The sequence below is a fragment of the Homo sapiens genome, assembly GCF_000001405.40.
Source record: "Homo sapiens chromosome 16 unlocalized genomic scaffold, GRCh38.p14 Primary Assembly HSCHR16_RANDOM_CTG1".
In the NCBI taxonomy this organism is placed as follows: domain Eukaryota; kingdom Metazoa; phylum Chordata; class Mammalia; order Primates; family Hominidae; genus Homo; species Homo sapiens.
Genome location: NT_187383.1, coordinates 597945 through 625860, shown reverse-complemented (window position 1 = coordinate 625860; position 27916 = coordinate 597945). Strand labels below are relative to the sequence as shown.

Sequence of the window (27916 nt, the reverse complement as noted above, 5' to 3'; positions counted from 1 at the left end):
AGCAGGGCCAGCCCTGGCAACTGTGGCCTGGCTCTCTTGGGACCTAACAGCTCAGTAGGATAAACTCACAGATGATCTTAGCCACTACTGCAGGGAGGCCGGTTCTGTTCCTCGCAGCTCAACTCCATCCTAACGGCTCATGCTGGCCGGCCACAGGCCCTGGGCATTCAGGCTGCCACAGAGGCGGGAGGGGCCATGTGCTCCCAGGCCGAAGGCAGCAGGAGCAAGAGGCAGGGCCGGGCCAGGGGCTGTTCCACCACCATCGCCACCTGTGTTCCCGCTTCCTCCACAGGCAGGTGACAACACCCTGGTCATTTCCTGCAGGAGCCACTTCTTCTCATGTTGCCACCGAGGGAGGGCTTGGTGCCCATGCCCTTGAACCATGAAGGGGAGCCCCAGCAAGGCGAGGTCCTTGCCCAGGGCCATCTCACACCCAGCAGTGGGGGCTGGAAGCAGAACCCAGAGGCTCAGAATTCAAAGACAGAACTGAACGCTCCATCTACTGTGTCCCTGTAGCTGCACCCCCCTCTCCTCCTCCGTTCTCCCGGCCCGACAGACACTGTGGACAAGCAGTATTCCTTGATAAGCCCAGGACAAGAAAACAGCTCAGGCTGGCCTCCTTTTCAGTGAACTCATCTCTGAATCCACCCGACTCTGCTGGCCCCAGCCCCCTCCAAGCTTCTGCACAGACCTCCTGACGGTAGCCATCACTGCACACATGTGCCTACCCCTCCCAAGCTGCCCCTGCCCACCGCCCCATGGTCTTTCCAAGAGCGTCTGATCCCGCTCAGGGAAAGCCTAGGCTCCCGCCTGGTCCGGAGGGCCCTCTGTGAGCCAGCCTCTCACACCACCAAGCCTGCGGGCCGCACTCTGCCCTGCTGCCCCTGGCTCCTGGACGGGGTAACCACTCAGCATTCTGCAGGGCTCAGCTCAGACCCCTTTTCTCTGGGAGAGGGTATCCTGGGTCCCCCAATGAGGTGCGCATCCCTGCTAGGTGCCCCCTTCCCTAGAGCACCCATGCCAGCTGGGGCCATCTGTGTGGTGTTGGTCCTCCCTGGTAGGCGGGCCTCAGAGGTAGCACCCTCTGCCCTGCCCCTGTGGCACCTGGCACTTTAGACTCCTGGATGTTGAGATAATCTTCACTGCCTGGAGGCCAAGGGAGAGGCCAGGGTGGGACAAAGGGCGGCTGCTAGCCCCAGGCCTCCTACCTCCCTCCCGCTGCAGGATGTAGTGCAGGTGCATGATGTCCAGGATGGCTTCCAGGTCCTGCTCTGAGTAGCCCTTCCTTCGCATGTCCTCCACTGAGTCCGGGTAGGTCACCTGGTCACGCAGGGAACCCACAGACATGTAGGGCCTGTGGGAAAGCTGGGTGTCCACGGAGGGAAGGGCCAGCCCTGCCTCCCCCAAGATACTCTGCGCCTCCCAGGCAGTGTAGATTCTGTCTGCTGTAGACAAAATAGTGGCCCCCCAAAAATGTTCATGTCCTAATTCCCAGAGTCTAACATACAAATATGTTAGATGGCATGGCAGTGGGAAATTAGATTTCAAGTGAAATTAAGGTTGCAAAGGTGGCGGGAGCAAAAAGCCGCAGCAGCAAAAATCCGCGGCGGCAGGGGCAAAAAGCCGCGGCGGCGGGAGCAAAAAGCCGCGGCGGGCAAAAAGCCGCGGCGGTAAAAAGCCGCGTCGGCGGGGTGGAGGGCAAAAAGCCGCGGCGAGGCAAAAAGCCTTGGCGGGCAAAAAGCTGAGGCGGGGTGGAGGCAAAAAGCTGCGGCGGGTAAAGAGCCGCGGCGGTGTGGGGGGCCAAAAGCCGCGGCGGCGGGTGGGGGCAAAAAGCCAGGGCGGGCAAAAAGCCGCGGCAGCGGAGGGCAAAATAGTGGAGATGGGGTAGAAGGCCGGCACAGCTTGGCGTTGCTGGAGTGTGATGTGATAGGAAATGTGCAGCCAAAGACAAAAAAAGATGTAAGTAAGCTTGACTCATTGCAGCTAAGAACCCAGATGTTATCTTGAGGGTATTAACTAATAAGCAGTTTAAATCAGAATGGCACATTCTGATTTGTTGTTTGTATGTTCACATTTGGCAGGCATAGATACTGTTTGAAGAGAGAAAATTCAGTAGATAGAGGTAACAAACTTAAATATGTGCCAAGTCTAGAAACAAGAGACCAGGGGGATAAGGACCTTTCAAAATAAAATGCAAGATTTGAAAACTGATTGGCTGGGGGATGAGGAAAAGGCAGGTCTTTAAGGTCCATCCCTGTTTTGCTTTAAGGTATTAGGGGGTGGTTTTATCACATATTGTAGAATATGTCATTTCAGTTTTGAACATCTTGAGTTAAATTGTCCTAACATATCTTATGAATTTGATTTTCTTCCCTGGGAAGCTAATATTTCAAAAACTTAAAGAGTATAGGTTTCCAACTTGTATCCAATTTATAAAACTATCTCTAGGCTGCTGGCTTCAGGAGGAGGCTCATGAATATTCTCTTTGCAGAGAATATATCAGGAGTTAACAACAGCTTCAATATTTGTGGACGACGAGTTAACTAAGCCACCTCTTAGTGTATTTAAAGGGAAATCTTAGCTGAAGATATTCAATAATGAACCAACAGTGACTAAAAAATTCAATATTTAAGTATATTTCATTGTAATTAATTTGAATTGAAGTAGCCATATACAGCTAGTATTTACTACAATGAACAATGCAAATAAGAGGAAAAAATTAATAACCATCTCTAATACCACATGCCAAAATCCTCATCAATTTATTCTAGCTAAAGGAGTTTATCAGAAGCAGCAGTTGAAAGCACCAACTAAACCAGCTGGGGTTAGTTCACTGTCATTCTCTCAGAACCATCTCTTCTCTGAACAAAACAAGTACAAGAGTTCATTGTGAATCTGCATTCTCCTTGCCTATTTTAAGGTTTTGATGTTGACACTAATTTGTGAAATCCCTCCTGTGGTGTGATATTTCATTTTCCTTGCTTTCTGTTAGGACAAGAATGCTTCAGCTCTTAATTTAAAATTATGCTTCTCCCTCCTAGGTTGAGTGAACTTAGAATGCATTCTCTGACATATCCAAGTTTTTGTTAATATGAATTTGGGGAAAAAAGCATACTTAATTAGCTAAGACTTCTTATTCTAGGCTTGACCCTGTGTTTGACGTCTTTTGAATTTCTAGTTGCATGGGCTGCTCTCTGACACTGGTTAGTGACCTGGAAGCTATATTAATGTTAGGGGAGGTGGTGTATGAGCATTAGAGGTATCCTTGCAAGGAAAGACTTGTCTTATCTCAATACGTCTTTTTTTTGCCCACAAGAAAGTCAATGTTTGAGTCTTCTAAAATCTTCCTATTTCCAAGTTGCAGAGTACCATTGATTCCTAAACAAAGACCTAATTTTTGACTCAGAGACGTGACAAGGTAGTGAATCGCCATTATAATTTAACAATCTTCAAGATAAAATTATCTCTGATATTTAGATTTTGCCCAATTATTAAGATATTAGGGTGTTTCATTAAGAATGGAAGACTCTAGTCTCTTGAGCAGAGACTATAAAGGCCTCAGATGACCATTTTTAATTTTATGCTCTTTTCTTTAACACCTTCAACACAGTTGGAAGCAGCTGATATTCCCCAGAGTTGTTGTGTTTTTTAAACCAAATGCATGGTTCAGTGGTAGAAAACTGGGCTGATCCAAGCTGTTTTCAGTAAACACTTCATTTCAGGTGACCTATTTCATATTAAATAATCTCTAGATCCTGTCTTCGAAACTAACTAGATCAGATAACCTACCCTGGATTTTCTCCTTTTAGGGTCTGTGAGCTGCAGTCACTTTTGTGAAAATGATTGCAATGACAAGATAGAGTTGTAGATGGGAAAAATGTTTTGACTAATTTAAGCATAGTGGTATTTCATATGAGAATTTAAGTTACACACATTTGAAAATTATAATGGAGTCTCTTGGCTGAGCTTTAAAAAAAATAGCGTTTAGGCTAAAAAGGGAACTGCTACCTCTCCTAAAATCAGAAAGATGTTACAGTAATTCTCCATTCTCTAGAATTATCAGGAAGCACCTTTATGATGATTTACTTTTGCTCTTGGGAGTGTGAGCCTGTGCAGTCGTGGAACCATCAATTAGAATGGTGGCTTTCTGATCCCAAAATCATTCGTTCTGAAAACAATATTTTTCATAAATTTGAAAGTGAGAAATTTTGATCTTGCCATTCCCAAGTAACTCTCTTAATGAGAGGCATCAGCATGCTTCAGTGACAGCTGTCACCTTCCACTGCTGAGAGCCGTCTTTGAGTTCTCCATTTCACTCCCTACACTCCAATTTAGCTGCAGTTCTCTTGGCCAGTCCTATGAAATACATCCATGGCCTAACGACTCCTCACCACTACTACCACTCATCCTGACAGCATTCTCACCTAAGTCACTACCTTTTTTCTTGGGATTACGGTAGCCTCCCAATTTATTTGCTCACATAACCTATTTATTCTACACAGTGCACCAGATACACCCCTTTGAAATGCAAACACAATCATGTTATTCTCTGGTGAAATTGTCTCATATATTCCTATCGCATTTAAAATTAATTCAGAATCATCCCATGATTATCAAAACCCTACATGCTCTTCCACAACATGGTTTACTTCCAAGATATCTCTTCAACTTTTTTTTCACTGTACTGAATTGGTGACTAATAGTCATATTTTTGTTTTTGCTCAAAAAGTCTTGACTTGTGAATTTTTCAGTTTCTCCTTTATCCACAGGTAACTCTTTCCTCATAAGGCTAATTGCTTGCTTCAATGGCCTATTCAGAGAAAGGACATTTGGGAACTTTTCGAGGACAATGACAAAAAGGCAAATAGCCCAGGATAAAAAGTAGAAAGAAACCAACTGAAAAACTGCTCTGTGATGTGTCCATTCATCTTGCAGTGTTATACCTTTCTTGTAACACAGCAGTTTGGAAACACTTTTGTTGTAGAATGTGTGAAGGGATATTTGGGAGCGCCTTGATGCCTATGTGAAAAAGAAAATATCTTCAGATAAAAAGTAGAAAGAAGCTCTCTGAGAAACTGCTTTGTGATGTGTGCATTCACCTGACAAAGTTAAACCTTACTTTTGATTTAGCACTTTCAAAACACTGTTTTTCTGCATTCTGCGAATAGACATTTGGGAGATCATTGAGACCAATGGCAAAAAAGCAAATATCCAAGGATGAAAACTAGAAGGAAGCTATCTGAGAAACCACTTTGTGATGTGTGCATTCAACTCACAGAGTGAAACCTTTATTTTCATACAGCAGTTTGGAAACACTGTTTTTGTAGAATCTGCAAATTGATATTTGAGAGCACATTGAGGCCTAAGGGGTAAAAGTAAGTATCTTCAGATTAAAACTAGAAAGAAACTTTTTGAGAAACTGCTTTGTGATGTGTGTATTCATCTTGCAGACTGAAACCTTTCTTTTGATTCAGCAGTTTGGAAACACTGTTTTTGTCCATTCTGCAAATGAACATTTTGGAGCTCATTGAGGCCAATGGTGAAAAAGAGAATATCCCAGTGTAAAAATTAGAATGAAACTATCTGAGAAATGGTTTTGTGATGTGTGCATTCATCACACAAATTTAAACATTTCTTTTCATTCAGCAGTTTGGAAACTCTGATTTTGTAGATTCTCTGAAGGGCTATTTGGAAGTGCACTGAGATCTACTGTGAAAAAGAAAATATCTTTAGATAAAAACTAGAAAGAATCTTTCTGAGAAACTGCTTTGTGATGTGTGCATTCATCTCGAAATGTTAAAACTTTATTTAGATTCAGCAGTTTGAGAGCACTGTTTATGTCCATTCTGCGAATGGACATTTGAGAGCTCATTAAGGGCAAAGGCAAAAAAAAAAAAAAAATCCCAGGATAAATACTAGAAGGAAGCTATCTGCAAAACCGCTTTGCTATGTGTGCATTCATCTGTCAGAGTTAAAACTTTGCTTTCATTCAGGGGTTTAAAACAGTGTTTTTGTCCATTTTGCAAATGGACATTTGGGAGCTCATTGTGGTCAATGGCAAAAAAGCAATTATCCCAGGATAAATACAAGAAACAAGGTATCTGAGAAACCGCTTTGTGATGTGTGCATTCATCTCACAGAGTTAAACCCTTCTTTTCATTCAGCAGTATAGAAACACTTTTCTTGTAGAATCTGCAAAGGGATATTTGGGAGTGCATTGAGGCCTATGGTGAAAAAGAAAATATCTTCAGATAAAAGCTAGAAAGAAGCTTTTGGAGAAGCTGCTTTGTGACGTGTGCATTCATCTCACAGAGTTAAACCTTTCTTTTGATTCCGGATTTTGGAAACACTGTGTTTGTCCATTCTGGAAATAGCCATTTTTGAGCTCATTGAGGCCAATGGTGAAAAATAAAATACCCCAGCATAAAAACTAGAAGGAAGCTATCTGAGAAACTGCTTTGTGATGTGTGCATTCATCTCACTGATTTAAACCCTTCTTTTATTCAGCAGTTTGGAAACACTGCTTTTGTTCTTCCTGTGAAAGGACATTTTGGAGCTCATTGGGGCCAATGGCAAAAAAGCGAATATCCCAGGATAAAAACAAGAGTGAAGCTGTCTGAGAAACCGCTTTTCGATGTGTGCATTCACCTGGCAGAGGTAAACTTTCCTTTTCAGTCAGCAGTTTGGGAATGCTGTTTTTGTAGAATCTGTGAAGGGATATTTGCGAGTGCATTGAGGCCTGTGGTGAAAAAGGAAATATCTTCAGATAAAAATTAGAAAGAAGTTTCCTGAGAAACTGCTTAAAGAGGTGTGCATTCCTCTCACAGGGTTAAACCTTTCCTTTGATTCAGCAGTTTGGAAACACTGTTTTTGTACATTCTGGGAATGGACATTAGGGAACTCACTGATGCCATTTGTGAAAAACTGTATACCCCAGGAAGAAAACTGGAAGGATATTATCTGAGAAACCCCTTTGTGAAGTCAGCATTCGTCTCTCAGAGTTAAATCTTTCTTTTCATTCAGAAGTTTGGAAACACTGTTTTTGTTGAATCTGCCAAGTAATATTAGGGTGTACGTTGAGGCCTAGGGTGAAAAAGAAAATATATTCAGATAAAAACGAAAAGAAGCTTTCTGAGAAACTGCTTTGTGATGTGTGCATTCATCTCACTGAGTGAAAACTTACTCTTGATTCAGCAGTTTGGAGACACTTTTTTGTGCATTCTGTGAATGGACATTTAGGAGCTCATTGAGTCCAAAGGTGAAAAAGTGAATATCTGAGGATAAAAACTACTACGAAGCTATTGTGAAACCGTTATGTGATGTCTGCATTTATCTCACGGAATTAAACCTTTCTTTTCATTCATCAGTTTGGAAACACTGTTTTTGTAGAATCTGCAAAGAGATATTTGGGAGGGCATTGAGAGCTAAGGCAAAAAAGCAAACATCCGAGGAAAAAAACTAGAAAGAAATTATCTGAGAAATGGCATTATGAAGTGTGCATTCATTTTACAGTGTTAAACCTTTATTTTCATTCAGTAGTTTGGAAATGCTGTTTTTGTCAAATCAGCAAAGGGATATTTTGGAGTGCATTGAGGCCAATGGTGAAAAAGAAAATATCTTCAGATAAAAAGTAGAAGGAAGCTTTCTGAGAAACTGCTTTTTGATGTGTGCATTCATCTCACAGAGATAAACTTTCCATTGATGCAGCAGTTTGGAAACACCAGTTTGTCTTTTCTGTGAGTGGACATTTGGGAGATCATAGAGGCCACTGGAGAAAAAGCAAATATCCAGACACAAAAACTAGAAGGAAACTATCTGAGAAAATACTTTGTTACGTATGCATTCACCTCGCAAAGTTAAACTTTTTTTTCATTAAGCAGTTTGGAAACAATGATTTTGTAGAATATGCGAAGGCATATTTGGGAGAATTTTGAGACTATGGTGAAAAAGAAAATACAGATAAAAACTAGAAAGAAGCTTTCTGAGAAACTGCTTTGACAGGTGTACATTCCTCTCACAGCTAAACCTCTCTTTTGATAGAGTAGTTTGGAAACACTGTTTTTGTCCATTCTGTGAATGGACATTTGGAATCTCATTGAGACCAATTGTGAAAAAGTGAATATCCCTGGATAAAAACTAAAAAAAATCTATCTGAGAAACTGCTTTGTGATGTGTGCAATCATCTTGCAAAGTTAAATCTTTCTTTTAAATCAGCAGTTATCTGCAAAGGGATATTTGGGAGCACTTTGAGGCCTATGGTGAAACAGAAATCATCTTCACATAAAAACTAGAAAGAAGCTTTCTGAGAAACTGCTTTGTGACGTGTGCATTCATCTTACAGACTTTACCTTTCCTTTTCATACAGCAGTTTGGAAACACTGTTTTTGTCCCTTCTGGGAATGGAAATTTGCAAGCTCATTGAAGCCCGTGGTGGAAAAGCAAATATCCCAGGATATAAACTAGAAGGAAACTACCTGATAAATAACTTTGTGATGTGTACATTCAGGTCAGAGTTAAACCATACTTTTGATTCAGCAGTTTGGGAACACATTTTTTGTCCAATGTGCAAATGGACAATTGGGAGCTCATTGAGGAAAATGGAAAAAGGGGAATATCCCAGGTTAAAAACTACAAGAAAGCTATCTGAGAAACTATTTTGTCATGTGTGCATTCACCTCACAAAGTTAAACCTTTCTTTTCATTCAGCATTTTGGAAACACTGTGTTTGTACGATTGGTGAAGGGATATTTGAGAGTATGTTGCACCCTATGGTGAAAAAGAAAATATCTTCAGATAAAAACTAGAAGGAACCTTTCTGAGAAACCACTTTGTGATGTGTGCATTCGTCTCACAGAGTTAAACCTTTCTTTTGATTCAGCACTTTGGAAACACTGTTTTCATCCTTTCTATGAATGGTCATTTGGAAGCTCATTGAGGCTAGTGGTGAAAAAGCTAATATCCCAGGATAAAAACTAGAATAAATCTATCTGAGAAACCACATTGTGATGTGTGCATTTGTCCCACAGATTTAAACCTTTGTTTTTCATGCTGCAGTTTTGAAACACTGTTGTAGAATCTGTGCAGGACTATTTGTGTGTACATTGAGGCCTAAGGTGAAGAAGAAAATATCTTCAGATAAAAACTGGAAAGAAGCTTTCTGAGAAACTGCTTTGTGATGTGTGCATTCATCTCACAGAGTTAAAACTTTCTGTTGATTCAGCAGTTTGGAATAACTGTTTTTGTCAATTCTGCAAATGGACGTTTGGGAGCTCATTCAGGACAAAAGCAAAAAAAAGTGAATATCCCAGAATAAAAATTAGAAGAAAGCTGTCTGAGAAACTGCATTGTGATGTGTGCATTCAACATGCAGCGTTAAACCTTTCTTTTCTTTGAGCAGTTTGGAAACGCTGTTTTAAAGAATCTGCGAAGGGATATTTGGGAGCCCATATAGACCTAGGTTGAAAATATCTTCAGATAGAAACTAGAAAGAAGCTTTCTGAGAAGCAGCATTTTGATGCATGCATTCATCTCACGGAGTTACCACTTTCTTTTGATTCAGTGGTTTCAAAACACAGTTTTTGTCCATTCTGCAAATTGACATTTGGGAGTTCGAGGCCAGTGGTGAAAAAGCATATCCTAGGATAAAAACTAGAAGGAAGCTGTCTCAGAAACGGTTTTTTGATGTGTGCATTCATCTCGCAGATTTAAACCTTTCTTTTCCTTCAGGAGTTTGGAAACACTGTTTTTGTCCATTCTGTGAATGAACATTTGGGAGCTCATGGAGGCCAATAGCAGAAAAGTGAATACCCCTGGATAAAAACAAGAAAGAAGATATCAGAGAAAAGGCATTGTGATGTGTGCCTTCATTTTGCAGAGATAAACCTTTCTTTTCATTCAGCATTTTAAAAACCCTATTTTTGAAGAATCAGGAAAGGGATATTTGGGAGCACATTGAGGCCTATGGTGAAAAGGAAAATATCTTCAGATAAAAATTAGAAAGAAGCTTTATGAGAAACTGCTTGGTGATGTGTGCATTCATCTCATAGAGTTTCACTTTCTTTCAGTTCAGCAGTTTAAAAATTCTGTTTTTGTCCATTCTGTGAATGGACATTTTGAATCTCATTGAAGCCAGTGGTGAAAAACTGAATATCTCAGGAAAAAAATTAGAATGAAGCTGTCTAAAAACCCACTTTGTGTTGTGTGCATTAACCTCAAAGAGTTAAACTTTTCTTTTCATTCAGCAGTTTGGAAACACTGTTTATGTAGAATATGCCAAAGAATATATGGGAGCATATTGAGGCCTATGTTGCAAAGGAAAATATCTTCAGATAAAAACTAGAAGGAAGCTATCTGAGAAACTGCTTTGTGATGTGTGCATTCATCTCACAGAGTTAAAACTTCCTTTTTACTGAGCAATTGGGAAACCCTGTTTTTGCCCATTCTTTGAATGGACATTTTGGAGATCTTTGAGGCCACTGGTGAAAAAACGAATATCCCAGGATAAAAAATAGAATGAAGCTATCTGAGAAACCCCTTTGTGGTGTGCACATTCATCTCACACAGATAAACCTTTCTTTTCATTCAGCAGTTTTGAAAGGCTGTTTTGTAGAATCTTCAAAGTGATACTTGGGAGGGCATACAGGCCTATGTTGAAAAAGAAAATATCTTCACACAACAAAAATAAAGAAAGTTTCTGAGAAACTCCTTTGTGATGTGTGCATTTGCCTCACAGATTTTAACTTTTCTTTTCATTCAGGAGTTTGGAAAAACTGTTTTTGAAGAATCTGCAAAGGGTTACTTGGGAGTGCATTGAGGCTATGGTGAAAAAGAGACTGTATTCATATAAATAGTAGAAAGAAGCTTTCTGAGAAACTGCTTTGTGATTTGTCCATTCAACTCACAGAGTTAGACATTTCTTTTGACTTAGCAATTTGTAACACTGTTTTTTTGTCCATTCTGTGAATGGGTATTTGAGAGCTCATTGAGGTCAATGGCAAAAAAAGCAAATATCCCAAGATAGAAATTAGAAGAAAACTATCTGAGAAACCACTTTGAGATGTGTGCATTCATCTCTCAGAGTTAAACTTTCTTTTCATTCAGCAGTTGGCAAACACTGTTTTTGTAAAACTTGCACAGGTATATTTGGGAGCCTATGGTGAAAAAGAAAATACCTTTATGTAAAAACTAGAAAGAAGCTTTCTGAGAAACTGATTTTTGATGTGTGCCTTCATCTCACAGAGTTAAACCTTTCTTTTCATTCAGCATTATGGAAACACTGTTTATCTAGAATCTGTGAAGGGATATTTGGGAGCACATTGAGGCCTATGGTGAAAAAGAAAATATCTTCAGGTAAAAACTGGAACTAAACTTCCTGAGAAACTCCTCTGTGATGTGTGCATTCATCTCACAGAGTTAAACCATTCTCACTCAGCAGTTTAGAAACACTATTTTTGCCTATTCTTTGAATGGACTTTTTGGAGCTTATTGAGGCTAATGACAAAAAAGCAAATATCCCTAAATAAAAACTAGAAGGAAGCTATCTGAGAAACCACATTGCAATGTTTGGATTCATCTCACAGAGTTAAACTTTCATTTTCATTCAGCTGTTTGGAAACACTGTTTTTGTAGTAACTGCAAAGGGACATATGGGAGCACATTCAAGCCTATGGTGAAAAAGAAAATAAATTCAGATTAAAAACTAGAAAGAGGATTTCTGAGAAACTGCTTTCTGATGTGTGCACATAAATTGTCTTACAGAGTTAAACCTTTCATTTGATTCAGCAGTTTGGAAACACTGTTTTTCTCCATTCTGCAAATGGACATTTGGGTGCTCATGGAGGCCGATGGCAAATAAGAAAATATCCCCAGAAAAAACTAGAAGGAAACTATCTTAGAATCCTCTTTGTGATGTATGCAGTCATCTCACAAAATTAAACTTTTTTTTCATTCAGCAGTTTGGAAACACCACTTTTTCCTTTCTGTCAATGGACATTTGGGAGCGCATTGAAGCCAATGGCAAAAAAGCACATATCAAAGGATACACACTAGAAGGAAGATGTCTGAGAAACCACTTTGAGATGTGTGCATTCATCTCAGAGAATTAAACCTTTCTGTTCTCTTTTTAAATTTTACTTTAAGATCTAGGGCACAAGTGCACAATGTGCAGGTTTGTTACATATGTATACATGTGCCATGTTGGTGTGTGCACCCGTTAAATCATCATTTATATTAAGTATATCTCCTAATGCTATCCCTGCCCCCTCCACCGTCCCCATGACAGGCCCTGGTGTGTGATGTTTCCCTTCCTGTGTCCAAGCGTTCTCATGGTTCAATTCGCACCTATGAGTGAGAACATGCAGTGTTTGGTTTTCTGTCCTTGTGATAGTTGGCTGAGAATGATGGTTTCTGCACGAGAATGGTGGAATCTGCACAGGGGTATTTGGGGTTGCATTGAAGCCTACGTTGAAAAAAGTGAACATCCCAGAATGAAAACTAGAAGGAAGCTATCTGAGAAACCACTTTGTGATTGGTTCATTCATCTCACAGAATTAAACCATTATTTTCATTCAACAATTTGGAAACAATGCTTTTCTGGATCTGCAAAGGGCTATCTGGGAGAGCATTGAGTCCTATGGTGAAAAATAAAATATCTTCACATAAAAACAATAAAGAAGATTTCTGAGAAACTGCTTTGTCATGTGTGCATTCAACTCTCAGAAATAAAAATTTCTTTTGATTCAGCAGTTTGGAAATACTGTTTTTGTTCCTTCTGTGAATGGATATTTGGGAGCTTTTTGATGCCAATGGTGAAAAAGAAAATATCCCAGGATAAAAACTAGAAGGAAGCTATCTAGAAACCACTTTGTGATATGTGCATTCATCCCTCAGAGTTAAACCTTTCTTTTCAGTGAGCAGTTTTGAAACAGTATATTTTAGAATCTGCAAAGGGACTTTTAGAAGTGCATTGAGGACTATGGTGAAAAAAGAAATATCTTCAGATAAAAACCAGAAAGAAGCTTTCTGAGAAACTGCTTTGTTATGTATAAATTCCTCTCACACGGTTACACCTCTCTTTACATACAAAAATTTGTAAACACTGTTTTTGTCCATTTCTGTGAATGTATATTTGGGAGCTCATTGAGGCCAATGGAAATAATGAATATGCTTGGATCAAAACTACAAGGAAGCTATCTCAGAAACTGCTTTGTGATGTCTGCATTAGTCTCACAGAGTGAAGCCATTCTTTTCATTCAGCAGTTTGGAAACACTGTTTCTGTAGAATCTGTGAAGGGATATTTGGGAGAGTATTGAGGCCTATGGTGAAAAAGAAAATATCTTCAGATGAAAACTAGAAAGAAGCTTTCTGAAAAACTGCTTTGGGAGGTGCGCATTCATCTCACAAATTTAAACCTTTCTTTTGATTCGGCAGTTTGGAAACTGTATTTCTCCGTTGGGTAAATGGACATTTGGGAGCTCATTGAGGCCAATTGTGAAAAAGCAAATATCCCAGGATAAAATCTCGAAGGAAGCTGTCTGAGAATCTGCTTTGTCATGTGTACCTTCATCTCACAGAGTTAAACCTTTCTATTCTTTCAGCAGTTGGAACACTATTTTTAAAAAATCTGTGATGGGATATTTGGGAGTGCATTGAGACCTATTGTGAAAAAGAAAATGTCTTCAGAAAAAAACCAGAAAGAAGTTTTCTGAGAAACTGCTTTGTGATGTGTGCATTCCTCTCAGAGAGCTAAACCTTTCTTTTGATTCAGTAGTTTGGAAAAACTGATTTTGTCCATTCTGTGAATGGACATTTGGGAGATCATTGAAGCCAATGGTCAGAAATAAAATCTCCCATGATAAAAAATAGAAGGAAGCTATCTGAGAATCCACTTTGTCATGTGTGGATTCACCTCACAGAGCTAAACCTTTCTATTCATTCAGCAGTTTGGAAACACTGTTTTTAAAGAATATGCAATTTGATATTTGGAAGCTCATTGAGGACTATGGTGAAAAAGAAAATATCTTCAGATAAAAACTAGAAGGAAGCTTTCTGAGAAACTGCTTTGTGAAGTTTGCATTCATCTCATAGAGTTAAACCATTCTTTTGATTCAGCAGTTTGGAAACACTCTTTTTGTCAATTCTGCATATGAACACTGGGATCTCGGTGAGGCCAATGGCAAAAAAGTGAACATCCCAGGAAAAAAACTAGAAGAAATATATCTGAGACACCGCTTCACAAAGGGTACGTTCATCCCACAGAGTTAAACCTTTTTTTTTTCCATTCAGCAGTTTGGAAACACTGTTTTTGTATAATCTGCAAAGGGATATTTGGGAGCACCTTGAGGTCTATGGTGAAAATAAAGTAAATTCAGATAAAAACTAGAAGAAGCTTTCTGAGAAACTGCTTTCTGATATGTGCATTCATCTCACAGAGTTAAACTTTCTTTGATTCAGCTGTTTTGAAACACTGTTTTTGTCCATTCTGTGAACGGACATTTGGGAACTCATTGAGGCCAACATCAAAATATTGAATATCCCATGATAAAAACTACAATAAAGCAGTCTGAGAAACCGTTTTGTGATGTGTGCATTCATCTAACAGAGAAAAACCTTTCTTTTGATTCAGCTGTTTGGAAACACCGTGATTGTCCATTGTGCGAATGGATATCTGAGTGCTCATTCAGTCCAATAGCGAAAAAGCAATTATCCCAGGATAAATAGTGGAAGGAAGCTGTCTTAGAAACCACTTTGTGATGTGTCCATTCATCTCCCACAGTTAAACCTTTCTTTTGATACATCACTTTGGAAACACTGTTTTTGTACAATCTGGGAAGGGGTATTTTGGAGTGCATTGAGGTCTATGGTGAAAAAGAAAATACGTTCAGTTGAAAACTAGAAAGAAGTTTTCTGAGAAACTGCTTTGTGAGGTGTGCATTCATCTCACAGTGTAAAACCTTTCTTTAGATTCAGCAGTTTGGAAATACTGTTTTTGTCCATTCTGCCAATGGACATTTGGGAGCACATTGAGGCCAATAGCAAAAAAGTGAGTATCCCACAGTAAAAACTAGAAGGAAGCAAACTGAGAAACCAGTTTGCATTGTGTGCAAACTGCCTCCCACAGTTAAACTTTTCTTTTGATTCAGCAGTTGGAGACACTGTGTTTGTCCATTCTGTGAATGCACTTTTGGGAGCTCATTGAGGCCAATGGTGAAAAAAGCAAATATCCCAGGATGAAAACTGGAAGGAAGCTATCTGAGAAACTGCTTCATGATGTGTGCATTCATAAGTCAGTGTTAAACATTTCTTTACATTTAGCAGTTTGGAAACACTGTTTTTGTAGAATCTGTGTAAGGATATTTGGAAATGCATTGAGGTATATGGTGAAAAAGAATATATCTTCAAATAAACTTAGAAAGAAACTTTCTGAGAAACTGCTTTGTGACATGTGGATTTATCTCACATAGTTAAAACTTTTTCTCATACAGCTCTTTTCAAACACTGTCTTTGTCCATTCTGCAAATGGACATTTGGGAGCTCATTGAGGACAATGGCGAAAAAGTGAATATCCCAGAATAAAAACAAGAAGGAAGCTGCCTTAGAAACCATAATGTGATGTGTGCATTCATCTCACATAGTTAAACCTTTCTTTTGATACAGCAGTTCAGAAACACTTTTTGTCCATTCTGCAAATGGACATTTGGGAGCTCTTTGAGGCCCATGGCAAAAAAGTGAATATCCAAGGTTAAAAACTGGAAGGAATCTATCTGAGAGCCCGCTTTATGATGTGAACATTCATCTTGCAGAGTTAAACTATTTTTGATTGAGCAGTTTGTAAACTCTGTTTTTGTCCATTCTGTGAATGAACACTTGGGAGCTCATTGAGGCCAATGGTGAAAAAGTTAATATCCCAGGATAAAAACCAGTAGGAAGATATCTGAGAAATAACTTAGTGATGTACACATTCGTTTGGCAGAATTAAACCTTTATATTTATTCAGTAGTTTGGAAGCACGGTTTTTGTAGAATCTGTGAAGGGATCTTAGGGAGCACATTCAGGCCTTCAGTGAAAAAGAAAATATATTCAGATAAAAACCAGAAAGAAGATTTCAGTGAAACAGCTTAGTGATGTGTGAATTCATCTCACAGAGTTAAAAAAATTCTATCATTCAGCAATTTGGAAACACTGTTTTTGTAGAACCTTCAAAGGGATATTTGGGAACACATTGAGGCCTATAGTGAAAAACAAAGTATATTCAGATGAAAATTAGAAAGAAGCTCTCTAAGAAACTGCTTTGTGGTGTGTGCATTCATCTCACAGAGTTAAACTTTTCTTTTGATTCAGCAGTTTGGAAAAACTGTTATTGTCCATTTTGTGAATGGATATTTTGGAGCTCACTGATGTCAATGATGAAAAAGCAAATATCACAAGATAAAATCTAGAAAGAAGCTATCTGGAAACTGCTTTGTGATGTGTGCATTCACATCACAGAGACAAACGTTTCCTTTCATTCAGTAATTTGGAAACACTGTTTTTGTCCATTCTGGAAATGAACTATCGTAAGCTCATTGAGGCCAAAGGTGAAAAAGCGAATATTCCAGGATAAAACCTTGAAGGAAGCTATCTGAGAAACCACTTTGTGATGTGTGCATTCATCTCACAGAGTTAACATTTCTATATGTTTAGCAGTTTCAAAACACTATTTTGTAGAATATGCAAAGGGATATGTGGGAGCGCATCAAAGCCTCTGGTGAAAAAAAAATCCTCAGAAAGGAACTAGAAAAAAGCTTTCTGAGAAACTGGTTTTTGATGTGGGTATTCATCTTAAAGAGTTAAACCTTTCTTTTGATTCAGCAGTTTGCAAGCACTGTTTTTCTCCTTTCCACGAATGGACATTTTGGAGCTCATTGAGGCCAATGGCGAAAAAGCAAATATCCCAGTATAAAAAGTAGAAGGACACAGATTTGTGATGTGTGAATTCATCTCACAGATTTAAATTTTCTTTTGAATCAGCAATTTGGAAACACTATTTTTGTAAAACCTGTGAAGGGATATTTGGAAGTGCATGGAGGCCTATGGTGAAAAAAACTATTTTCAGATAAAAACTAGAAAGAAACTTTCTGAGAAACTGCGTTTTGATATGTGCATTCATCTCACAGATTTAAAATTTTCTTTTGATTCAGCAGTTTGGAAACACTGTTTCTGTCCATTCTATGAAAGGACATTTGAAAGCTCATCAAGGCCAACAAAGACAAAGAGACTATCCCAGGAAAACAACTGGAAAGAAGCTATCTGAGAAACTGCTTTGTTATGTGTGCATTCATCTCACAGATCTACATCTTTCTTTGGTTCAGCAGTTTGGAAACACTGTTTCCGTCCATTCTGCAAAAGGATATATGAAGGCTCATTGAGGCCAATGGTGAAAAAGCTAATATCCAAGGATAAAAACTGGAAGGAATCTATCTGAAAAAATGCTTTGTGATGTCTGCATTCATCTTGCAGAGTTAAACTTTTTTTTTGATTGAGTTGTTCGGAAACTCTGTTTTTGTCCATTCTGCAAGTGGACACTTAGAAACTCATTGAGGCCAATTGCAGAAAAGTGAATATCCCATTATAAAAGCTAGTATGAAGCTATCTGAAATACTGCTTTGTGATGTGTGCACTCATCTTGCAGAATTAAACTTGCCTTTTCATTCAGCAGTTTGGAAGCACTGTTTTTGTAGAATCTTCAAAGGGATATTTGGGAGTGCATTGAGGCCTACATTGAAAAGGAAAATATCTTCAGATAAAAACTGGAAGGAATATCCCAGGAAAAAACCTAGAAGAACCTATCTGAGAAACTGCTTTACAAAGTGTGCATTCATCTACCAGAATTAAATCTTTTTTTCATTCAACAATATGGAAACACTGCTTTTGTAGAATCTGTGAAGGGATATTTTGGAGTGTCTTGAAGTCTATGGTGAAAAAGAAAGTAAATTCAGATAAAAACTAGAAGAAGTTTTCAGATAAACTGCTTTCTGATGTGTGCATTCATTCCACAGAGTTAAATATTTATTTGATTCAGCAGTTTTGAAACACTGTTTTTGTCCATTCTGTGAATGGACATTTGGAAGCTTATTGAGGCCAATGTTGAAACAGCAAATATCCCAAGATTAAAACTACAATAAAGCAGTGTGAGAAACTGCTTGGTGATATGTGCATTCATCTAGCAGAGATAAATCTTTCTTTTTGATTCAGCTGTTTGGAAACACTGTGATTGTCAATTCTCCGAATGGACACTTGGTATGTCATTGAGGCCAATGGAGAACAAATGAATATCACAGGATAAAAACTAGTAGGAAAATATCTGAGAAAACCCTTTGTGATGTACGCATTCATCTGGCAAAATTAATCCTTTATTTCATTCAGCAGTTTGGAAGCACGGTTTTTGGAGAATCTGCAAAGGGATCTTAGGGAGCACATTCAGGCCTACAGTGGAAAAGAAAATATCTTCAGGTAAAAACTAGAAAGAAGGTTTTGGTGAAACAGCTTTGTGATGTGTGCTTTCATCTCACAGAGTTAACCATTTTATCATTCAGCAGTGTGGAAACACTGTGTTTGGAGAATCTTTGAGGTTATATTTGGGAGCACATTGAAGCTAATTGTGAAAAAGAAAGTATATTCAGGTAAAAACTAGAAAGAAGCTCTATAAGAAACTGCTTTGTGATGTCTGCATTCATCTCACAGAATTAAACTTTTCTTTTGATTCAGCACTTTGGAAACACTGTTTCTGTCCATTCTGCAAATGGACATTTTGGAGCTCATTGAGGCCAGTGTTGAAAAAGTAAATAACCCAGGATAAAATCTAGAATGAAGCTATCTGGAAACCGCTTTCTGGTGTGTGCATTCATCGCACAAAGATAAAATTGTTTTTTCATTCAGCAATTAGGAAACATTGTTTTTGTCCATTCTGTGAATGGACATTTGGGAGCTTATTGAGGCCAATGGCAAAAAGGTGAATTTTCCAGGATAAAAACTAGAAGGAAGCTATAGAAGAAACCACTTTGTGACGCGTGCATTTATCTCACAGAATTAACTTTCCTATACATTCAGCAGTTTGGAAACACTATTTTTGTAGAATCTACAAAGGGATATGTTGTACTGCATCGAAGGCTCTGGTGAAAAAAAAATATCCTCAGACAAAAACTAGAGAAAAGCTTTCTGAGAAACTGGTTTTTTAGGTTGGCATTTATCTCATAGAGTTAAGCCTTTCTTTTGATTCAGCAGTTTGCAAACACTGTTTTTGTCTATTCTGCAAATGGACATTTGGGAGCTCATTGAGGCCAATTGAGAAAAAGCAAATATTCCAGGATTAAAACTAGAAGGAAGCTCTCTGAGAAACTGCTTTGTGATGTGTGCATTCATCCCTTTTCATTCAGCTGCTGGGAAACACTGTGTTTTTAGAATCTGCAAAGGGATATTTGGGAGGGCATTGAGGCCTATGGTGAAAAAGAAAATATCTTCAGATAAAAACTAGAAAGAAGCATTCTGCTCTGTGTTGTGTGCATTAATCTCACAGAGTTAAACTTTTCCTTGATTCACCAGTTTGGAAACACTCTTTCAGTCCATTCCGTGAAGGGACGCTGGGGAGCTGATTGAGGCCAATGGCAAAAAGGCGAGTATCCCAGGACAAAAACAAGAAAGAAACTATCTGACAAACGGCTTTGTGATGTGTGCTTCATCTCACAGAGATAAACCATCCTCTCATTCAGCAGTCTGAAAACTCTATTTTTCTAAAATCTGCAAAGGGATATTTGGGAGTACATTTTGTCCTATTGTGAAAAAGAAAATATCTTCAGGTAAAAGCCAGAAAGAAGCTTTTTGTGAAACTGCTTTCTGATGTGTGCATTGATCTCACGGAGCGAAAACTTTCTTTTGATTCAGGAGTTTGGAAACACTGTTTCTGTCCATTCTGTGAATGGACTTTTGAAAAGTCATTGAGGTCAATCATGAAAAAGTGAATATCCCAGGATAAAAACAAAAGGAAGCTATCTGAGAAACCGCTTTGTGATATATGCATTCATCTCACAGAATTAAAATTTGCTTTTCCTTCATTAGTTTGGAAACACTGTTTTTGCAGAATCTGTGAAGGCAAATTTAGGAGCATGTTGAGGCCTACAGTGGAAAAGAAAGTAAATTCAGATAAAAACGAGAAAGAAGCTGTCTGAGAAACTGCTTTGTAATGTGTGCATTCGTTTCACAGTGTTGAACTTTTCTTTTAATTCACCAGTTTGGAAACACTGTTTTTGTCCATTCTGCAAATGGATATTTGGCAGCTCAGTGAGGCCAAAGGAGAAACAGTGAATATCCCATGATAAAAACTACAATGAAGTTATCTGGGAGACTGCCCTGTGATATGTGCATTCATCTCTCATTGTTAAAGGTTTCTTTTGATTCAGCAGTTTGGAAACACTGTTTTTTTAGTATCTTTGAAAGGCTATGTGGGGAGCATTGAGGCCTGTGGTGAAAACAAAATATCTTCAGATTAAAAACTGGAAAGAAGCTTTCTGAGAAACTCCTTTTGATGTTTGCATTCATCTCACAGAGTTAAAACTTTCTTTTCATTCAGCAGTTTGGAAACACTCTTTTTCTCCATCCTGCTATTGGACATTTCAGAGCTCAATGAGGCCGATGGCAAAAAAGTGAATATCCCAGGACAAAAACAAGAAGAAAGCTATCTGAGAAACCGCTTTGTCACATGTGCATCCATTTAGCAGAGTTAAGCTTTTCTTTTGCATTCAGATGTTTGGAAATAATGTTTTTCTAGAATCTGTGATGGGATTTTTGTGAGCTCATTAAGGCCTATGGTGAAAAAGGGAATATCACAGAACAAAAACTAGAAGGAAGCTATCTGAGAAACTACTTTGTGATGTGTAAAACTGTCGTTTCATTCAGCACTTTGGAAACACTGTTTTTGTAGAATCTGAGAAGTGATATTTGGGAGTGCATTGGGGCATGTGGTGGAAAAGAAAATATCTTCAGATAAAAACTAGAAAGAAACTTTTTGAGAAACTGCTTTGCAATGTGTGCATTCATCTCACAGAGGTAAAACCTTCTTTGGATTCAGCAATTTGGAAACACATTTTTTGTACATACTGTGAATGGATATTTGGGAGCTCTTTGAGGCCAATGTTGAAAAAGTAAATATTCCTAGATAAAAATTAGCAGGAAGGTAACTGAGAAATAACTTTGTGATAGGTGCATTCATGTCACAGACTTAAAACTTACTTTCGAGTCAGCCTTTTGGAAAAAGAGTTTATGTCCATTCTGAGAATGGAAATTTGCATGCCCATTGAGGCCATTGCAAAAAACTGAATATCCCAGGATAAAAAGTAGAATTAACCTATCTGGAAACCGCTTTGTGATGTATGCATTCACCTGGCAGTGTTAAAACATTCTTTTGATTTAGCAGTTTGGAAACACTGTTTTCATTCATTCTGTGAATGGACATTTGGTTGCTCATTGATGCCAATTTCAAAAAAGTGAATAACCCAAAACAGAAACAACAAAGAAGCTATCTGAGAACCCACTTTGTGATGTGTGTATTCATCTCACAGTTAAACCTTTCTTTTCATTTAGAAGTTTGAAAACATTGTTTTTGTAGAATCTGCGAAGTGATAATTTGCAGTGCATTGAGGCCTGTGGTGAAAAAGGAAATATCTTCAGAAAGAAGCTTTCTGAGAAACTGCTTTTTGATGTGTGCATTTATCTCACAGAGTTAAACATTTCTTTTGATTCAGCAGTTTGGAAACTGATGCCTATATTGAAAAGAATATGTTTATATAAAAACTGGAAAGAAACTTTCTGAGCAACTACTTTGTGACGTATGAATGATGTATGAATTCATCTCACAGAATTAAACCTTTCTTTTGATTTAATAGTATTGAAACACTGTTTTTGCCAATTCTGCAAAAGCAGATTTTGGAGCTCATTGAGGGCAATGATGAAAAAGTGGATATAACAGCATAAAAACTAGAAGGAAGCCATGTGAGACACAGCTTTGGGCTGCATGCATTCATATCCCAGAGATAAAACTGTCTTTCACTAAGTAGTTTGGAAACACTGTTTTTGTAGAAACTGTGAAGAGACATTTAGGAGCACAATGAGATCTATGGTAAAAAAGAAAATATCTTCAGATAAGAATTAGAAAGTAGTTTTATAAGAAAATGCTTTATGATGTGTTCATTCATCTTACAGAGTTAAACCTTTCTTTTGATTCACTAGTTTGGAAACACTTTTTGTCCATTCTGAAAATAAACATTTGTAGTCTCACTGAGGCCAAAGGTGAAAAAGGAAACATCCCAGAATAAAAACTAGAAGGAAGCAATCCTACAAACTGCTCTGTGATGTGTGCATTGATTACAGAGAGTTAAACCTCTCTTTGGATTAAGCAGTCCGGAAACACTGTTTTTGTCCATTCTGCTAATGTACATTTGGGAGCTCGTTGAGGACAGTGGTGAAAAAGGAATAACCCCAGATGACAATTAGGAGGAAGCTATCTGAGAAACTGCTTTGTGATGGATGTGGGCATTCATCTCACAGAGTTAAACCTTTCTTTTCATTCAGCAGTTGGAAACACTGTTTTTGTCCATTCTGTGAATGGACATTTGGGAGCTCATGGAGGCCAAAGTTAAGTAGCAAATGTTCCCTGATAAAACTGGAAGGAACCTATATGAGAAACTGCTTCGGTTATGTGCATACCTCACACAGAATTAAACCTTATTGAGGAGTTTGGAAACACTGTTTTGCAGAATCTGCAAAGGGATATTTTGCAGTGCATTGAGGCCTGTGGTGAAAAAGGAAACACCTTCAGATAAAAACTAGAAAGAAGCTTTCTGAGAAACTGCATTTTTATGTGTGCATTTATCTCACAGTGTTAAACATTTCTTTTGATTCAGCATTTTGGAAACACTGTTTTTTTTTTTTTACATTATGTGAATGGACGTTTTAGGACTCATTGAGGCCAATAGCGAAAAAGTGAATATCCGTGGCTATTCACTAGAAGGAAGCTATCTGAGAAACTGCTTTGTGATGTGTGCATTCACCTCACAGAGTTAAACCTTTGTTTTGATTCTGCTGTTTGGTAACACTGTTTTTGTAGAAACTGCAAAGGAATATTTGGATGTGCATTGAAGTCTATGGTGAAAATGAAAATATCTTCAGATAAAATCTAGAAAGAAGCTTTCTGAGAAACTGCTTTGTAATGTGTGCATTTATCTCATGAAGTTAATATTTTCTTTTGATTCAATAGTTTGGAAACACTGTTTATTTCCATTCTGTGAATGGATGGAGCTCATTGAGTCAAATGGCAAAAATGGGAATATCCCAGGATAAAAACTACAAGGAAGCTAACGGTGAAACCACTTTTTGATGTGTGCATTCATCTCGCAGATTTAAACCTTTATTTCTTTCAGAAGTTAGGAAATACTGTTTTTGTAGAATCTGCAAAGGGATATTTGGGATCCTGCTGAGGCCTATTTTGAAAAAGAAAATAACCTCAGATGAAAACTAAAAAGAAGCATTGTGAAACTGCTTTGAGATGTGTGCATTCATCTGACAGAGTTAATCCATTCTTTTCACTCAGAAGTTTGGAAACAGTGTTTTTGTAGAATGTGTGAGAGTATATTTTGAAGTGCATTGAGGCGTATGGTGGAAAAGGAAATATCTTAAGATAAGAACAAGACAGAAGCTTTCTGAGAAACTGCTTTTTGATATGTGCATTCATCTCACAGAGTTGAACATTTGTTTTGATTTAGCAATTTGGAAACCCTCTTTTTGTCCATTCTATGAATGGAAATTTGGGAACTCATTGAAAACAATGGGGAAAGTGAATATCCCAGGGTAAATATAGAATAAGAATATCTGAGAAACTGCTTTGTGATGGATGTGGGCATTCATCTCACAGAGTTAAACCTTTCTTTTCATTCAGCAGTTGGAAACAGTGTTTTTGTCCATTCTGTGAATGGACATTTGGGAGTTCATGGAGGCCAAAGGTTAAGTAGCAAATGTTCCCTGATAAAACTGGAAGGAACCTATATGAGAAACTGCTTTGGTTATGTGCATACATCACACAGAATTAAACCTTATTTTCTTTCAGCAATATGGAAACACTGTTTTTGTGGAATCTGCAAGGGGATATTTTAGAGCATATTAAGGCATATGGTGAAAAATAAAATATCTTCAGATAAAAAGTAGAAAAAAGCTTTCTGAGAAGCTGCTTTGTTATGTGCGCTTTCAACACACAGAGTTAAACCTTTCTTTTGATTCAGCAATTTGGAAACACCATTTTTATCTATTTGGAGAATGGACATTTAGGAACTCTTTGCAGCCAATGGCGAAAAAGTGAATATCCCAGGATAAAAACTACAAGAAAGTTTTCTGAGAACCAGCTTTGTGATGTGAGCATTCATCTCACAAAGTTAAACCTTTCTTTTGATTCAGCAGTTTGGAAACACCGTTTTTATCTATTCAGAGAATGGACATTTCAGATCTCTTTGAGCCCCAAAGTGAAAAAGCGAATCTCCCATGATAAAAAACAGAAGGAATCTATCTGATAAACTGCCTTGTGATGTGTACATTCACCTCAAAGAGTTAAACTTTTCATTCAGCAGTTTGGAAAAACTGTTTTGGTAGAATCTGCAAAGGTGTACTTGGGAGCGCGTTGGGGCCAAACTAGAAGTTTCCTTTTAGTTTTTATCTGATGATACTTTCTTTTTCACCAGAGGTCTCAATGTGCTCCCACCTATCCCCTCGCAGAGACTACAAAAACAGTGATTCCAAACTGCTGAATGAAAATAAAGGTTTCAGTCTGTGGGATGAATGCACATATCACAAAGCCATTTCTCATATAGCTTCTTTCTAGTTTTCATCCTGGGATATTCACTTTTTCACCTTTGGCCTCCATGAGCTCCCAAATGTCCATTCACAGAATGGACAAAAACAGTGTTTCCAAACTGCAGAAAGAAAAGAAAGGTTTCAATATGTGGGATGAATGCGCACATCACAAAGCAGCTTCTCAGATAGATTCCTTCTCATTTTTATCTGGGATTTTTGATTTTTCCCCGTTGGCCTCAGTGAGCTCTCAAATGTTCATTTGCAGAATGGACAAAAACAATTTCCAAACTGCTGTATAAAAAGAATCTTTATCTCTGTGAAATGAAAACACAAATCATTAAGAGGTTTGTCAGAGTGCTTCCTTCTAGTTTTTATCCTAGGATATTCCCTTTTTCACCATTGGCCTCAACAAGCTCCAAATGTCCATTCACAGAATGGACAGTGTTTCCAAACCAAGGAATCAAAAGAAAAGTTTATCTTTGTGAGATGAAGGCACCCTTCACAAAGCAGTTTCTCAGAAACCTTCTTTCTAGTTTTTATCTGAAGATATTTTATTTTTCACCATCGGCCTCAATGTGCTCCCAAATATCCCTTTGCAGATTCTACAAAAACAGCGTTTCCAAACAGCTGAATGAAAAAAAAGTTTAACTCTGTGAGATGAATGCACACATCACAAAGTGGTTTCTCAGATAGCTTCCTTGTAGTTTTCATCTGGGCATATTTTCTTTTTCACCATTGGCCTCAATGAGCTCCCAAATATCCATTCAGAGTATGGACAAACACAGTGATTCCAAACTGCTGCATGAAAAGAAAGGTTTAACACTGTGAGATGAATGCACACATCACAAAGTAGTTTATCAAAAATCTTCTGTCTAGTTTTTATCTGAAGATATTTTCCTTTTCAGCATAGGCCTCAAGGCACTAGCTAATATTCCTTCACAGATTCTACAAAACAGTGTTTCCAAACTGCTGAATGAAAAAGAAGTTTTAACTCTGCGTGATGAATGTACACATCACAGAGTGGTGTCTCAGATAGCTTCCTTTTCGTGTTTATCCTGGGACATTTGCTTTTTCACCATTGGCCTCAATGAGCTCCCAAATGTTCATTCGGATCATGGACAAACACAGTGATTCCAAACTGCTGCCTCAAAGGAAATGTTTAAATCTGTGAGATGAATGCACACATAACAAATTGCTATCTCACATAGCTTCCCTCTACTTTTTGTCTTGGGATATATGCGTTTTTGCCATGGGCCACAATGAGCTCCCAAATGTCCATTCACAGATTGGAAAAACAGTGTTTCCAAACAGCTGAATCAAGAGTAAGGTTTAACTCTGTCAGATGAATGCATACTTCACAAGGTAGTTTCTCAGAAACCATCTTTCTATTTTTTATCTAAAGGTATTTTCCTTTTCACCATAGGCCTCAAAGCACTCGCAAATATCCCTTTGTAGTTTGTACAAAAACAGTGCTTCCAAACTGCTGAATGAAAAGAAAGGCTTAAAGGACTTTGTGAGATGAATGGACACTTTGTAAAGCAGCTTCCCAGACAGCTTATTGTAGTTTTTTTCCTGGCATATTCACTTTTTCACCTCCAGCCTCAATGAGCTCCCAAATGTCCATTCACAGAAAAGACAATAGCAGTGTTTCCTAACTGCTGAATCAAAAGAATGTTTTAATTCTGTGAGAAGAATGCACACATCACAAAGCAGTTTCTCGGAAAATTTCTTTTTAGTTTTTATCTGAATATATTTCTTCAACATATGCCTCATTACATTCCCAAGTATCCCTTCGCAGATTCTACAAAATCAGTTTTTCCAAACTTCTGAATGAAAGGAATGTTTTAACTCTGTGAGATGAATGCACACATCACAAAGCAGTTTCTCAGAAACCTTCTATCCAGTTTTTTTTCTGAAGTTATTTTCTTTCTCATCATCAGCCTAAATGTGGTCCCAGATGTCCATTCGCAGAATGAAAAAAACAGTGTTTCCAAACAGCTGAATAAAAAGAAAGGTTTACCTAGGTGCAGTGAATGCAGACATCACAAAGAAGTTTATCAGAAAGCTTCTTCATAGTTTCTATAATGGGACATTCGATTTTTCACCATTGGACTCAATGAGCTCCCAAATATCCATTCAAACAGTGGACAAAAACGGTATTTCCAAACTGCTGAATGAAAAGAAAGTTTTAACTCTGCCAGATGAATGCATACATTGCAAGTCTGTTTCTCAGATAGCTTCCTTCTAGTTTTTATCCTGGTATATTCGTTGTTTCTCCATTGGTCTCCATGAGCTCTGAAATGTCCACTCGCAGAATGGAAAAAAAAAGTTTTTCCAAACCACTGAATCAAAAGAAAATTTTAACTATGTGTGATGAATTCACATATCACAAAACAGTTTCTCAGAAAGTTTTTTTCCAGTTTTTATCTGAGGGTATTTTGTTTTTCACCATAGGCTTCAATGCACTCTGAAATATCCCCTTGCAGATTCTTCAAAAACAGTGCTTCCAAACTGCTGAATGAAAAAAAAAGGTTTAAATCAGGGAGATGAATTCACATATAATGAAGCGGTTTCTCACATTTCTTCTTTCAAATTTTTAGTTGAAGAGATTTTCTTTTTCATCACAGACCCCACTGTGCTCCAAAATATAACTTCAAAGATACTACAAAAACAGTGTTTCCAAACAGCTGAATTAAAAGAGATGTTTACCTCTACGAGATGAATACACACATCAAAAAGCAGTTTCTCAGATTGCTTCCTCTTAGTTCTTATCCTGGGACATTCGCCTTTTCACCATTGACCTCAATAAGCTCCCAAATGTCCATTCACTGAATAGATAAAAGAGTGTTTCCAAACTTCTGAATCAAAATAAATGGTTAACACTGTGAGCTGAATGTGCTCATCACAAAGCAGTTTCTCAGAGAGATTCTTCCTAGTTTTTATCTGAAGATATTTTCCTTATCACCATAGGCCTCAAAGCAACCCCAGATATCCTTTTGCAGGTTCTGCAAAAAGAGTGTTTCCAAACTGCTGAACAAAATGAAAGTT

At 38.1% G+C, this 27916-nt stretch overlaps 1 pseudogene; it reads left to right on the top strand.

Annotated features, from left to right (window-relative positions):
* LOC102723945 (sodium/hydrogen exchanger 9B1-like) overlaps positions 1-27916 on the top strand; it is a 278678-nt pseudogene that overhangs the window by 46239 nt on the left and 204523 nt on the right.